General features: G+C 49.0%; 1 protein-coding gene across 2 annotated transcripts in view, besides 1 other annotated feature; it reads right to left on the bottom strand.

Annotated features, from left to right (window-relative positions):
- The window catches only part of MYBL2 (MYB proto-oncogene like 2), a 49,369-nt gene that overhangs the window by 29,198 nt on the left and 4,320 nt on the right, over positions 1-15,851 (bottom strand). Inside the window, exons 2-5 of one of the 2 annotated variants that reach the window (NM_002466.4) lie at positions 13,386-13,479; positions 5,430-5,501; positions 4,399-4,491; positions 213-433 (exon numbers count right to left, since the gene is read on the bottom strand). In NM_002466.4, the coding sequence (NP_002457.1) occupies positions 213-433; positions 4,399-4,491; positions 5,430-5,501; positions 13,386-13,479 (480 nt within the window). The remainder of the gene's footprint in view (positions 1-212; positions 434-4,398; positions 4,492-5,429; positions 5,502-13,385; positions 13,480-15,851) is intronic. The other variant, NM_001278610.2, reaches the window with a different exon arrangement.
- Positions 8,685-9,375: an enhancer, noted in NCBI's record as "NANOG-H3K27ac-H3K4me1 hESC enhancer chr20:42306550-42307240 (GRCh37/hg19 assembly coordinates)". NCBI's record gives its function as "activates a minimal SCP1, AML or CMV promoter by ChIP-STARR-seq in naive H9 embryonic stem cells {active_cell/tissue: H9 hESC(naive)}" and the evidence as "EXISTENCE:reporter gene assay evidence [ECO:0000049][PMID:30033119]".

Here is a 15,851-nt window from a genome sequence, read left to right as displayed (position 1 = left end):
CATCTGTTCTTTTAAGCTGACAGAAGACAGGGCCTTCCCTGGGGAACCACCCTTCCTCCTGACTATGCATGCCTCTGGGAGCCCTGGAGCCGAGGCTGGGTGTTACAGAACAAGAGCACAGGACCACAATACCCACCCAGGAACCCTCCTCCATCAGAAACACGGGCCTGGCCTCCCGGGAACCTGTCCCAACCCCCAAGAAGACAGCTTACCTCCCTGGCAACATCTTGGCGATCTCGGCCCAGCGGTTGCCCAGCACCTTGTGGGCCTCGCAGATGATGCGGTCCTCCTCCTCGGTCCAGCAAGACTTCTTCACCTCAGGGTTGAGGTGGTTGTGCCAGCGTTCACGGCACTGCTTCCCCAGCCGGCCCTTCAGGTGCTTGGCAATCAGTGTCCACTGCTTTGTGCCATACTTCTTAACCAGCTCGATGACCTTAGAGAAAAGTCTCTGGGTAGCCACTTGCACCGGCCCCTCTCTCGCCCCCACCATAGCCCTTCACATCCACCTGAGCCTTGCCATGGCCCTGAGAGGTGCCACCTACCACATCCCCTCAGGCAACACTGAGCGAGCTGCAGGGGATGCCACCCAGGATGACTTTGTGTAGCCCACAGGGCCTACCTGAGGATCTGACCGCATCCCTCTCATTTATTGCCTGGAATAAATCTAGGCCAAGAATACCAGAGACCCTTTCTAGAGTAGAGATCAAGTGGGGGTAAACAAAGGCGCCAGAGTCCTGCTTCCCTCTCCAGGGCTCAACCCAATAAGCTAAGTAGAAAAGAGCAGAGGGATGAGGAGGAACAACACACACGGAGTCCAAACTAAAGGTGGGAAACAGACTTTCCCACACCAGCCAGGCCCCAGGCTGCCACAAGACCCTCCAGCACTTCCATGGAAATTGGGAGGGCACAGGCTGAGCCATGGTAGCAGGCATCGCGGGCTGACCTAGCCAGACCTGAGTCCCCACCTGCCCTCAGTCAGGCTTCCTAGCTCAGGACACAAACCACAACATACGCAGCCACAAGAGCCAGGCCAGGCCCCACCTACACAACAGACACACGCGTTCTCATGTGCACACAGGCCACAAGAAACTGGGAAGAGTGGATGCTTCTTTTGGCAAAGATTTTGGTGAAGAAATATTTGACTTCACTTCTGTATGGTTTAAATTTTTATAGCAACCACATATCACTTTGATTTTTTTTTTTAAAGATTTTATGTTTTCACTTTTTATTTTTTATTTATTTTTTTTGAGACGAAGTTTTGCTCTTGTTGCCCAGGCTGGAGTGCAATGGCACGATCTTGGCTCACCACAACCTCCGCCTTCCGGGTTCAAGTGATTCTCCTGCCTCAGCCTCCCAAGTAGCTGAGATTACAGGCATGCACCACCATGCCCGGCTAATTTTGTATTTTTAGTAGAGACGGGGTTTCTCCATGTTGATAAGGCTGGTCTTGAACTCCCGACCTCAGGTGATCCGCCCGACTTGGCCTCCCAAAGTGCTGGGATTATAGGCGTGAGCCACCGCCATTTTTTTGAGACAGTGTCTCACTCTGTCGCCCAGGCTGGGGTGCAGTGGGGCGATCTCAGCTCACTGCAACCTCCGTCTCCTGGGTTCAAGCGATTCTCCCGCCTCAGCCTCCTGAGTAGCTGGGATTACAGGCACACCAAGACACCTGGCTAATTTTTGTATTTTTTGGTAGACAGGGTTTCACCATGTTGGCCAGGCTGTTCTCAAATTCCTGGCCACACCCAGCCAAAAAAGTATTTTCAAACTAAATTTTATTTTATTCTTAAGAGACAAGGTCTCAGGCCAGGCCCGGTGGCTCACACCTGTAATCCAAGCACTTTGGGAGGTCGAGGCAGGTGGATCACCTGAGGTCAGGAGTTCAAGACCAGCCTGACCAACATGGCAAAACCCCGTCTCTACTAAAAATGCAAAAATCAGCCAGGCGTGGTAGCATGCACCTGTAATCTCAGCTGCTCCGGAGGCTGAGGCAGGAAAATCGCTTGTCCCTAGGAGGAGGAGGTTGCAATGAGCTGAGATCATGCCACTGCACTCCAGCCTGGGCAACAAGAGCGAAACTCCATCTCAAAAATAAATAAATAAATAAATTTTATTTCATTCTTTTTTTTTTTTTTTTGAGACAGAGTTTCGCTCCTGCTGCCCAGGCTGGAGTACAATGGCGCCATCTCGGCTCACTGCAACCTCCGCCTCCCCACTTCAGGTGATTCTCCTGCCTCAGCCTCCCAAGTAGCTGGGATTACAGGTATGGGTTACCACACCCAGCTCATCTTTGCATTTTTAGTAGAGACGGGGTTTCGCCATGTTGGTCAGGCTGGTCTCAAACTCCTGACATCAGGTGATCCACCCACCCCAGGCTCCCAAAATGCTGGGATTACAGGTGTGAGCCACCACGCCCAGGTGTTTTCTTTTGTGTTTTTTTTTTTTTAAGAGACAGGGTCTCACTCTGTCACCCAGACTGGAGTACAGTGGTGTGATCGTAGCTCACTGTAACCTCGAACTCCTGGGCTCAAGCAATCCTCCCAACTCAGCCTCCCAACTACAGGCACCCCACCACCACGCCGAGTTACTTAAAAATTAATTTTAAGGCGAAGTGCCAGCCATGGCTCATGACTGTAATCCCAGAACTTTGGGAGGCCAAGGCGAGAAGATAGCTTGAGCCCTGTAGTTCAAGACCAGCCTGGAAAACATAGGAAGACCCTGTCTCTACAAATTAAAAAAAAAAAAAAAAAGGCCGGGCACAGTGGCTCACGCTTGTAATCCCAGCACTTTGGGAGGCTGAGGTGGGTAGATCACAAGGTCAGGAGTTCAAGACCAGTCAGGCCAACATGGTGAAACCCTGTCTCTACTAAAAATACAAAAATTAGCCGGGCGTGGTGGCAGGCGCCTGTAATCCCAGCTCCTCAGGAGGCTGAGGCAGAGAATTGCTGGAACCCAGGAGGCGAAGGTTGCAGTAAGCCAAGATCACGCCATTGCACTCCAGCCTGGACGACAGAGCAAGACTCAGTCTCAAAAAAATTAACAAGGAAAAAAAAAAAAAGAACAGGAATGGTGGCTCATACCTACAATCCCAGCACTTTGAGAGGCTGACGTGGGAGGATCATTTGAGCCCAGAAGTTCAACCAGCCTGGGCAGCATAGTGAGATACTCTCTCTACAAAAATTTTTCAAAAAGATTAGCCAGACATGGTGGCACATGTGGCACCAGCTACTTTAGAAGCTGAGGTGGGAGGATTGCTTGGGCCTGGGAGGTCGAGGCTGCAATGAGCCGTGATTATGTCACTGTACCCCAGCCTGGGTGACAGAGCGAACCCCCGCCTCAATCAATCAAAAAAATTAGCCAACACTCTCCAGCCAGTGCAACAGAGTAAGACTCGTCTCAAAAAAAAATTAATTTAAAAACGCCTAGTTCCAGGCCAGGCACGGTGGCTCACGTCTGTAATTCCAGCACTTTGGGAGGCTGAGGCGGGTAGATCACGAGGTCAGGAGTTCAAGACCAGCCTGACCAACATGGTGAAACCCCATCTCTATTAAAAATACAAAAAAATTAGCCAGGTGTGGTAGCACGTGCCTGTAATCCCAGCTAATCAAGAGGCTAAGACACGAGAATCGCTTGAACCCGGGAGGCGGAGGATGCAGTGAGCTGAGATCGCGCCACTGCACTCTAACCTGAGCGACAAAGCAAGACTCCGTCTCAAAAAAAAAAAAAAAAAAAATGCCTAGTTCCCTTCATCTCCCTCTTTCTCATAAGCCATGCCTGCCTCAGTGGAATGGCATCCTCTGGGCTGGTATCGAGGAGAAGAGATGAGGGAACTCCCAAGGTAGCCCCAGGCAGTCATGGCACTTATTGCCTCTTCTAGGTTGGGGACATCCCCAACCTCTCTGAGCCTTGCTCTCTCCATCTATAAAATGGGACTAACAACTTCTGCCCACCTCACAGGACTGCTGTGGCGATCAAAAGAAGGCATCTGTGCCCTGTGAAGGTCACAGGGTGCAATCATCATTAAATCAGGGATAGCAGCAGCTGCCATTTGCTGAGAGCAAATGTACAGAACCTGCAAGCCCCCTACAAGCATCACCTGCTTAATTCTCATGACAACGCTGCACTGCTACTGCTCCCCTCCATGGGTGGAACAAGAGAAGCCGAGTAATCAGCCCAATAGCCCTCAGACCATGAGTGAGGAAGCCTGGAGACACTCTGAAACTTGGAATCTCAGGGCTGGAGCCAGGGCAGCATAAGAGTGTCCAGACTGGCTGGTAGACAACTCACACCCAATGCTCAGCTTGACACCCCCAACCCCAACACAAGGCAATCTCACAGTCCCCAGGTACACTGGTGGGTGAAGACCCACTGTGTGCAAGGCACTGTCCCAGCAGTTACTTTTTGGTCTTCCTCTTTGGTCCATGGCCCCTTGACAAGGTCTGGATTCAAAACTCTCAGCCACCTGTACTGGCATTGCTGGTCAGTGCGGTTCTGGGAAAAGAACAGAAGAACAAACCAATCTGTGAGAACTTCTGGGACCTCGGGCTGGGGGCCTGGTTAAGTACTAGGCTCAGGGGCCTATGGCCTGGGACTAGGCACACCTTGGGTAGGTGTGTCCTGTTCCATGCAGCCACCACTCACTGCAAGCCCACATGCCGGAACATGGGCGGTTTCCCTTTGCTACACGAGAGGGCAAACTCGGTCCCCTGTGGGAAGCCGCTCCCTACCAACCGAACACAAGGGGCCACCATCACAAGTCTTTAATTCCTTGTACGTCAGGGACCCCTGCTTTTTTCTAGGAGAGCATTTTTATTCCCTGAAGAGTTCAGATTACACAGAAGAGGGGGAGATGAGGAAATGGGGCAGGAAAGGATCTGGTGACATGCTTTCTGAGCAGCCCAGGCAGTAAGACATATGGCAGCTCCTGCCACACCCCCTCCCTCCCAGACACCTGTGGGTCAGGGGTGGGAGGGCCTGAGAAGGAGGTCCTGAGGGGAACCCCCTCACCATCAGGAGGCTCTAAATACTCGAATGTGGTAGCACCTGCCAGCCCTGCAGGGGCCTCACCATGAAGCCTGCTGAAAGCATCACTTCCCCTCAGTTTCAGTCTCACTGTTGAGAAACCGAACACCTGTTCACTCCTGACTTACAGGAAGAAATGCAAATATGCACCACATGCTGCAAATGTCTCAGAGCCTGAAGACCACCAGGCATGCTGAGGAGCTGGAAGATGTTTACAGCAGTGTACCCTGAATGCCAGCTTGGGAAGAGAGATCCTACAAAGGTCCATTTGCCCTGTTTTATTTGGTTTTGTTTTCAGGGGCTGAGTAAGGAACTCCCTTTTCCCCTCCTTGGCAAAGTCTGTCCCAGGCACACTGTTCTCCCAGAGCCCTTGCCCCGAGGGAGGGCCACAGCAGGACTGTACTCACAGGGAAGTGGCTGGCCAGGAACTTCCAGTCCTGCTGTCCAAACTGCCTCACCAGGGCCCTCAGCTGCTCGTCCTGCCAACACCAGAAAGACAGGGGCTCAGCACACATACGTGCAGAAAACCTCAGGGCTGCCCGTGACAGAGCCCAATCTAAAAGAACAGCCTCGTTCATCCATTCCGTCATGAAGTGAATACGTACAAGGTGCCAGGCACTACAGCTGCAGCAGCAGGCAGCAAAAGAGCTGCCCCTGATCTCATGGGAGGGAGCCAGCTGCCAATGGAAGGCTCACAGGAACAAAAGTAAAGCCACCCCCTGCTGGGAGATATGGAGAGGTACGTGGTGACTGCCTACTCAGGGACACTAAGGGACAGGTTCCAAGGAAATGCAGAATAGCTAAAATGGAGGAAGCAAAACAGATCCAAGATGATTTTGGAGGGAACCATAGGGGCCAGACCATTCGCAGCATCAGTTCAACCATCTATCATGCAAAACCACTGATGTGTTTGAAGAGTGGGTGGTCACAGTCAAACGTTCTATGAAGAGAACTTTGTAAAGTTCTCTTTGCCTGCTACAGGGTGGGAAAGGGGCTGGAAGGGAGCCGAGCGGACATAAGGAGGTCATTACTGAACTCAGGCCAGAGCTGACAGTGATTCAGCACTAGAAGCTGGAGGTCTGGGCAAAAACAAGAGTAGTTAGAAGACAGGCTAGTATCTATCAAAATAGCCTCCCGAAATGAACTACCAATTCACGCGATAACATGAATCTCAGTGTCACTATGATGTGTGAAAGAAGCCAGACACAGGAGGGTACATGCCGTATGATTCCATGCACATGAAGTTCTAGAAAATGTAAACTAAGCTATAGGGACAAAAAGTGGTTGTCTGAGGCCAGTGGTGGAAAGGGATGAACAGCAAAGGGGGGCAAGGAATGTCTTGGGGACAATGGAAATGTCCTATAGCCCGGCTGTGCTGGTGGTTCTACTGAATTGTACTACAAATGGTTGTAGTTAATTATATATAAAGTTTTCCTCAGTCAAATCAATTAATATATAAAGAAAATGTCAAGCCAGGCGCAGTGGCTCACACCTGTAATCCCAGCACTTTGGGAGGCCGTGGTGGGCAGATCACGAGGTCAGGGGTTCGAGACCAGCCTGGCCAATATGGCGAAACCCCATCTCTATTAAAAATACAAAAATTAGCCAGGTGTGGTGGTGGGTGCCTGTAATCCCAGCTACTCGGGAGGATGAGGAAGAATTGCTTGAACCTGGGAGGCGGAGGTTGCAGTGAGCCGAGATCATGCCACTGCACTCCAGCCTCGGCAACAGAGCAAGAGTGAGACTCCATCTCAAACAAAAGAAAAAAGAAAGAAAATGTCATGCATATAAACAATGGATATTACTCAGTCGAGAGAATTCTGACACATGCTACAGCATGGATGAAAGCTGAGGACACTATGCTAAGTCAAATAGCCAGACAGGGCAAATACTCAGGATTCCACTCACAGGAAGCATCTAAAATAGTCAAAATCAGGCAGGGAGCAGTGGCTCATGCCTTTAACCCCAACACTTCAGGAGGCCGAGGCAGGTGGATCACCTGAGGTCAGGAGTTTGAGACCAGCCTGGCCAACATGGTGAAAGTTCGTCTCTACTAATACAAAAATTAGCCCAGCGTGGTGGCAGGCGCCTGTGATCCCAGCTACTCGGGAGGCTGCAGCAGAAGATTCACTTGAACCCGGGAAGTAGAGGTTGCAGTGAGCTAAGATCATGCCATTGCACTGCAGCATGGGCAACAGAGCAAGACTCTGTCTTGAAAAAATAAAATAAATAAATAAAATAGTCAAAATCACAGAAACAGAGTAGAAAGATAGCTGCCAAGGGCTGGAGGGTGGGAGGAGAGTGAATTCATGTTTAATTAGTTTCAGTTTTCCATCCTTTTTTTTTTTTTGAGATAGGGTCTCTCTTGGTCACCCAAGCTAGAGTGCAGTGGTGCAAACACAGCCCACCCCGCATCCTCAACCTCATGGGCTCAAGTGATCCTTCCACCTCAGCCTCCCAAGTAGGTGGGACCACAGACACACACCACCAGGCCTGGCTAATTTTCATTTTTTTGTTGTAGAGACAGGATCTCACATGTTCTTCAGGCTGGTCTAGACTGCCTCAAGCAATCTCCTGCCTCGGCCTCCCAAAGTGCTGGGATTACAGGCCTGAGCCACCGTGACCCACCAAGTTGGTGGGTATTTTTTGTTTTGTTTTTAATGATAGGGTCTTGCTATGTTTTCCAAGCTGGTCTAGGACTCTTACACTCAGGCAATCCTCCCGCTTCGGCCTCCCACAGTACTCGGTTTACAGGCATAAACCACCACACTCAGCCTCGTTTCCAATTTCAAAGATGAAAAAGTTTTAGAGATCTTTTGCAAAACAATCTGAAAATACTTAACACCACTGAACTACAAAGTTAAAGATGGTTAAGGGGTAGATTTAAGGGGGAGGAAAAGGGGATAAATTTAAAGTGAGGTGGTTTTGTCACACATACAAATTTATATGTGTATATATGTATACATGCTCCTAGACAGAAAAATTGGTCACAACGTGGCCCACGACAGGTATCAAAGCCCTCAACTACAGCTTGGCCAGAACCAGCACAGGCTGGGCAAAGTCACCATAAATTCTCTGGGTGAGCCAGCCCAGGACACCCTTCCCTACCTATACCATGTCCCCTCCCTGCCCTGGCCAGGCTCTTACCTGCTTCCTTCTGTGTTCCCCAGTCCATCTCTGGCACCACCACTCTCCCTGACAACTGACCTGGATACTATCATTTCCAAACTTACATTCTTCCCACCCACCCTGGGACTCCCCAACGTGGTCAGCTCCATCCCCGCACTGCCCTCTCCACAGCCACCTCTTGCTTGCCTGGCACAGCGCCCTCTCCCACTCCCTCAGCACTGGTCTCTCAGCCCCAGCCTGTGCTCTATATGTTTTTTTCTTTTTTTTTTTTTTTTTGAGACGGAGTTTTGCTCTTGTTGTCCAGGCTGGAGTGCAATGGTGCGATCTCAGCTCACTGCAACTTCCGCCTCTGGGTTCAAGTGATTCTCCTGCCTCAGCCTCCCAAATTGCTGGGATTACAGGTGCCCACAACCACACCCAGCTAATTTTTTGTATTTTTAGTAGAGACAGGATTCAGCCATGTTGGCCAGGCTGGTCTGGAACTCCTAATCTCAGGTGATCCACCCATCTCAGCCTCCCAAAGTGCTGGGATTACAGGCGTGAGCCACCGCGCCAGGCCACCCATCTCTCTTATCGATCCCCCACACAGCAGATGAACTCCCCTGAAGCCCGGCTACATTCACATCACTCCCTGCATTAAAAACCTTCCATCTTTGTCCAGTTCAGAGTTAGAAAAAACAATCCAAAAACCAAGCTAACCTGGCTCTGCATTGAGAGCTGAACAATCCTACAGCTTCTAAGCCCAACATTCAAGGCCCTCGAGGAATCAGCCCCAGTGTATCCTTTCTTTTTTTTTTTTTTTCTTTCTTTCTTTCTTTCTTTATTTATTTTTTTATTGATCATTCTTGGGTGTTTCTCGCAGAGGGGGATTTGGCAGGGTCACAGGACAATAGTGGAGGGAAGGTCAGCAGATAAACAAGTAAACAAAGGTCTCTGGTTTTCCTAGGCAGAGGACCCTGCGGCCTTCCGCAGTGTTTGTGTCCCTGGGTACTTGAGATTAGGGAGTGGTGATGACTCTTAACGAGCATGCTGCCTTCAAGCGTCTGTTTAACAAAGCACATCTTGCACCGCCCTTAATCCATTTAACCCTGAGTGGACACAGCACGTTTCAGAGAGCACAGGGTTGGGGGTAAGATCATAGATCAACAGGATCCCAAGGCAGAAGAATTTTTCTTAGTACAGAACAAAATGAAAAGTCTCCCATGTCTACCTCTTTCTACACAGACACGGCAACCATCCGATTTCTCAATCTTTTCCCCACCTTTCCCCTCTTTCTATTCCACAAAACTGCCATTGTCATCATGGCCCGTTCTCAATGAGCTGTTGGGTACACCTCCCAGACGGGGTGGTGGCCGGGCAGAGGGGCTCCTCACTTCCCAGTAGGGGCGGCCGGGCAGAGGCGCCCCTCACCTCCCGGACGGGGTGGCTGGCCAGGCAGGGGGCTGACCCCCCCACCTCCCTCCCAGTCGGGGCGGCTGGCCAGGCAGAGGGGCTCCTCACTTCCCAGTAGGGGTGGCCGGGCGGCCATCTCCGTCAACCATTTCTCCCCTTCAAGGACCCTTCCCTCCCACCAAACTGGCCTCCTGTACTGGCTTTTCTCCACCTATAGCCCCTTTCCTGATCTGACTTACCCACTTTTTGCACACTGTAGGTCTTCCCTCACTGCTAAATTTCCAAATCCTCATCCTTAGCTCAAAGGTCACTTTCTCCACATAAGTTTCCTTAACCTCTTCAGGCAGCAGTAATCTCTCCTTCTAAAGGTACTTGCCATCCACTCATCTTACAATTAGCAGGTGCCCAGAGCTACAACAGTGAGCACCAACAGACACTGATCCTACCGGTGCCGCGGATGACCACAGCACATTCCAGGGACCTGCACACGGTCTTATCTCTCCATTCCAGAGAGAAATCTGCTCTGGGGTAGGAACTTGGTCTTGTTTATTCTTCTAAGCCCACAAGAGCCAAATATAGTCCCTGGTCCACAACAGGATGAGCAGAAAAGGTTTGCTTAGCACGCATCTGGAAAAACATCTTTCATGATTTAAAAGGAGTTTACCACTCACACAGCAAGTTTTAGAAAAAACAAAACAAGCTAGTCATGGTGGCTTCTGCCTGTAATCCCAACACTTTGGGAGGCCAAGGCAGGAAGATTGCTTGAGCCCAGGAGACCAGCCTGGGCAACATAGCAAGACCCTCTTCTCTATTTAAAAACAAAAAACAAAAGCAATACAAATAATACAATACAAAAAAAAAAACCCAATCCTAAAATTAAAGACATCTATGATGTTAACTATGGGTTGAAAACAAAACAAAACAAAAAACACTGAAGAACTGAAGACACTAAGAAAAACTGAGGTAAAATAAAAAGGCCAGTAGAAGTCTAAAATGGTACAATCCATTAAGAAAAAGGCAGTTTCTGTAAAACTAAACATACACCTACCCCATGACCATACCTATCTTCCCAAAAGAAAGGGAAACATGTATTTGCAAAAAGACTTATGCAAGAATCTTCAAGGTAGCGCTATACACGATAGCCAAAAACTGCAAACAGTCCAAACATCCATCAACAGGTGAAACGCTGTGTGGTATACCCATACAATGGACTACTATCCAGTGATAGAAAAGGACAAGTTACTGAATCACCCAACACAATGCTGAGCAAAAGCCAGACGCAAAGAATGTAACCGTATGATTTCATTTATAGAAGATTCAAGAACAGGCAAAACATATTATCCTAAGCAAACACAGGAACAGAAAACCAAATACCGCATATTCTCATCTATAAGTAAGAGCCAAACACTGAATACACATGGACACGAAGAAGGGAACAAGGAGACCAGGGCCTACTTGAGGGTGGAGGGTGGGAGGAGGGTGGAGGGTGGGAGGAGGATGAGGATCAAAAAACTACCTATTGGGGCTGGGTGCAGTGGCTCACGCCTGTAATCCCAGCACTTCAGGAGGCTGAAGTGGGAAGATCACCTGAGGTCAGGAGTTCAAGATCAGCCTGGTGAACATTTTAGTAGAGACAAGTAGAAACCTTGTCTCTACTAAAAATACAAAAATTTACCAGGCGTGGTGGCACGTGCCTGTAATCCCAGCTACTTGAGAGGCTGAGGTAGGAGAATCGCTTGAACCCAGGAGGCAGAGGTTGCAGTGAGCTGAGATCACACCACTGCACTACAGCCTGGGCAACAGAGAGAGACTGCCTTAAAAAAAAAAAAACTACCTATTGGGTACCACGCTTATTACCTAGGTAACAAAATAACCTGTACATCAAACTCCCACGACATGCAATTTACCTATATAATAAACCTGCACATATACCCCTGAACCTAAAGTTAAAAACAACACACACACACACACACACACACAAAGCCCCCAAAAAGAAAAAGGCAAAACAAATCAAATCAGCAATTTCCTGGAGCTGGGGAAGCCTGACCACAAAGGACCACAGAAAACTTCTTGGGATAATCAGGGTGGTGCTTACATTGGTATATGCATTTGTCAAAAGTGATCAAACCGGCTCACCGTAGTGGCTCATGCCTGTAATCCCAGCACTTTGGGAGGCCAAGGTGGGTGGATTGCTTGAGGTCAGGAGTTCAAGACTAGCCTGGCCAACATGGTGAAACCCCATCTCTACAAAAATACAAGAATTAGCTGGGCATGATGGCGGGTGCCTGTAATCCTAGCTACTCAGGAGGCTCAGGCAGGAGAATCGCTTGAACCCAGGAGGCGGAAGTTGCAGTGAGTGGAGATCACGCCATTGCACTTCAGCCTGGGAGACAGAGACTCCATCTCAAAAAAAAAAAAAGAAAAAAAACTGATCAAACTGTTCACCATAAAAAGGGGCATTTGGCCAGGGACAGTGGCTCATACCTATAATCCTAGCACTTTGGAAGGCTGAGGTGGGAGAAATGCTTGAGCCTAGAAGTTTGAGACCAGCCTGGGCAACATGGCGAGACCCTGTCTCTACAAAAAATACAAAAATTAGCCAGGCGTGGTGGCGCATGCCTGTGGTTCCAGCTACTCAGGAGGCTGACGGGGGAGGATTGCTTGAGCCCAGAAAGTTGAGGCTACAGTGAGCCATGCTAGCACGGCACTCCAGCCTGGGTGACAGAGCAAAAACCCTGTCTCAAAAAGGAATTAAAAAAAGGGCATTTGATTGCATATGATTACATATAAATTATATTTCAATCACATTTATTATAAAATAAAAAGATGGAGCTAGAAGGAAACCAATTCAGGGCTTGATGTCAGAAGGTTCAATACAGTTAATTATTTTAGAAAAAGAAAGTGGGAGTTGGCAGGGTGCGGTTACTCATGCCTGTAATCCCAGCACTTTGGGAGGCCGAGGCAGGTGGATCACCTGGGGTCAGGAGTTCGAGATTAGCCTGGCCAACATGGTGAAACTCCGTCTCTACTAAAAAATACAAAAATTAAGGCCGGGTGCAGTGGCTCACGCCTGTAATCCCAGCACTATGGGAGGCCGAGGCGGGCAGATCATGAGGTCAGGAGTTCGAGACCAGCCTGGCCAGCATGGTGAAGCCCCCGTATCTACTAAAAATACAAAAAAAAAAAATTAGCTGGGCATGGTGGCGCATGCCTGCAATCCCAGCTACTCGGGAGGCTGAGGCAGGAGAATTGCTTGGAACCTGGGAGGCAGAGGTTGCAGTGAGCCAAGATCATGCCACTATACTCCAGCCTGGGTGACAAAGCGAGACTGTCTCAAAAAAAAAAAAAAATTAGCTGGATGTGGTGGCTCACGCCTGTAATCGCACCTGAGGCAGGAGAATCGCTTGAACCCAGGAGGCAGAGGTTGCAGTGAGCTGAGATTATGCCATTGCCCTCTAGCCTGGGTGACAAGAGCGAAACTCTGTCTCAAAAAAAAAAAAAAAAAAAGGGTGGGGGGAGTTACAGATTTGGCCAAACCTCCTAGCAGTCAAAAGGCAAAAAGCACAATCAATGTCCATGACATAGAACATGGCAGCTGCTCAGGAGACACAATGGGCCCTGAGGTCTAGGACACACATCCCCTTCCCACCCACTGAGTCCTCAAAATTGAGAATCCCCCAGAATGCTCTGAGAAGAGGCATGAGGACAATCAGAGGACCCATCCCTTCCTTCACCGGCTCCTCCTCTTCATCCCATCTGATGAGACATCAAATACACTCCAGGCTCAGTTCCTCTGGACAGCCCCCAGCTGCCATCAACCCTCTCTTCCCCATGGCACTCACCTCCTCATGGGTCCATTTGACCTTGCACTTGCTATCCCTCTGCTCCGGCACATCTGAATCTGTGTCCTGGTAGTGCAGCTCATCCAGATCCTCGCTATGGGGAAAGCAGGCCAAGGGTCAAGGATGGTGTGTCCATATGTTTTACATAATGGAGAACGTGTAGGCAGCGGCCAGCCCACCCTAGGGAAAGGTCTGGGGGAGAGAGGCTCTTACTTTTTCTTCTTTTTAAGACATAGGCACTTCTGCTTCACTTATTTTTATTGAGACAGGGTCTCACTCTGTCACTGGGCTGGAATTCAGTGTGGCATGATCGTAGCTCACTGCAGCCTTGAACTCCTGGACTCAAATGATCGTCCCGCCCCAGCCTCCTAAGTAGCTGTGACTACAGGGGTATGCCACCACGCCCGGCTAACTTTTGTATTTTTTGTAGAGACGGGGTCTCACCATATTGCCCAGGGTGGTTTTGAACTCCTGGGCTCAAGCAATCCTCCCACCACGGCCTCCCAAAGTGTTGGGACTATAGGCATGAGCCACCACACCCGACCTCACCTCTTTTTAAATTTTTTAATGAAATAGGGTTAAGAGCTACTTTCTTCTTTTTTATTTTCAGGAATGCCCTAGTGATTTCAAAAGCTGTAAAAAAAAAAAAAAAAGAGGCCAGGCACAGTGGCTCAAACCTGTAATCCCAGCACTTTGGGAGGCCGAGGTGGGTGGATTGCTTGAGGTCAGGAGTTCAAGACCAGCCTGATCAAACACAGTGAAACCCCATCTCTACTAAAAATACAAATATTAGCTGGGTGCGGTGGCGCATGCCTGTAATCTCAGCTACTCAGGAGGCTGAGGCAGAAGAATTGCTTGAACCCGGGAGGTGAAGGTTGCAATGAGCCGAGATCATGTCACTGCACTCCAGCCTGGGTGACAAAGCAAGACTGTCTCAAAAAAAGAAAAGGAAAAAGAAAGTTAAGATTTCACCAAGAATATTATGTTCAAAATCAGACTATCGCTTTTTCCTTTCAGTAACAAACCTGCATGGATATTTTAAGGAATAAAGTTGATGAAGTTAACAGGCATCAAGATTTTAAGAGATATTAGTTATTTGGAAAAAAAATTCTGAATATATTCTCTATGTCCATTTGTTGTTTTTCTTCTTTTAGGGACAGAGTCTGGCTCTGTTACCCAGACTGGAATGTAGTGGCATAATCACAGCTCACTGCAGCCTCCAACTCCTAGGCTCAAGCAATCCAATTCTCCCACCTCAGCCTCCCAAGTACCTGGAACAACTTGCATATGACACTATGCCTGGCTATTTTGTATTTTTTTGTAGAAACATCTCACTATTTTGCCTAGGCTCATCTGGAACTCCTGGCCTTAAACAATCCTCCCACCTTGGCCTCCCAAAGTGCTGGTATTACGGGCCTGAGCCACTGTGACTGGCCAAGTTGTTTTTTCGTGTGTTGATTTTTTTTTTTTTTGTAATGACAGGGTCTCAGTATGCTACCCAGACTGGTCTTGAACTCCTGGGCTCAAGGGATCCTCCTGCCTCAGCCTTCCAAAGTAACTTGGATTACAGGTGTGCACCACCGTGTCTGGCTTATGTCCATTTTTGCAAATCCCTTTTCAATCCTTGCCTACACACAGGCATAATTAATGGAGAGAAAAATCAGTGTACAGTATCTATTTTTTTTTTTTGAGACGGAGTTTCACTCTGTCACCCAGGCTAGAGTGAAGTGGCGACATCTCAGCTCACTGTAACCTCTGCCCCCCAGGTTCAGGCGATTCTCCTGCCTCAGCCTCCTGAGTAGCTGAGATTACAGACGCCTGCCACCGCGCCCGGCTAATTTTTTTTGTATTTTTAGCAGATACAGGGTTTCACCATCTTGGCCAGGCTGGTCTTGAACTCCTGACCTCGTGATCCACCCGCCTTGGCCTCCCAACGGGCTGGGATTACAGGCGTGAGCCACCGCGCCCGGCCCAGTGTACAATATCTTCTAACGCCGCTGTAGGGGAAAAAAAAAAAACAGTACGAGCTGCTTTGAATTCTGGGTGTTTTTACTCTACAAGGCAATCTTCCAAGTTGCTCCAAAAAATCCTCGTATTTATCCAGTTTAATAGTTACAAAAATGGAAATCGGGCCAGGTGTGGTGGCTCACACCTGTAATCCCAGCACTTTGGGGCCAAGGCAGGCAGATCACCTGAGGTCGGGAGTTCGAGACTAGCCTGACCAACATGGAGAAACCCCGTCTCTACTAAAAATACAAAATTAGCCGGGTGTGATGGTGCATGCCTGTAATCCCAGCTACTCAGGAGGCTGAGGCAGGAGAATCGCTTGAACCTGGGAGGCGGAGGTTGCGGTGAGCCAAGATCAAGCCATTGCACTCTAGCCTGGGCAACAAGAGCGAAACTCCATCTCACAAAAAAAAAAAAAAAAAAAAAAAATGGAAATCAGCCGGGCGCGGTGACTCATAC

This window comes from Homo sapiens, chromosome 20 (genome assembly GCF_000001405.40).
Source record: "Homo sapiens chromosome 20, GRCh38.p14 Primary Assembly".
NCBI classification, from domain to species: Eukaryota; Metazoa; Chordata; class Mammalia; order Primates; family Hominidae; genus Homo; species Homo sapiens.
Note: the sequence above shows the minus strand (reverse complement) of the source record. Positions and strands in the feature narration are given on the sequence as shown.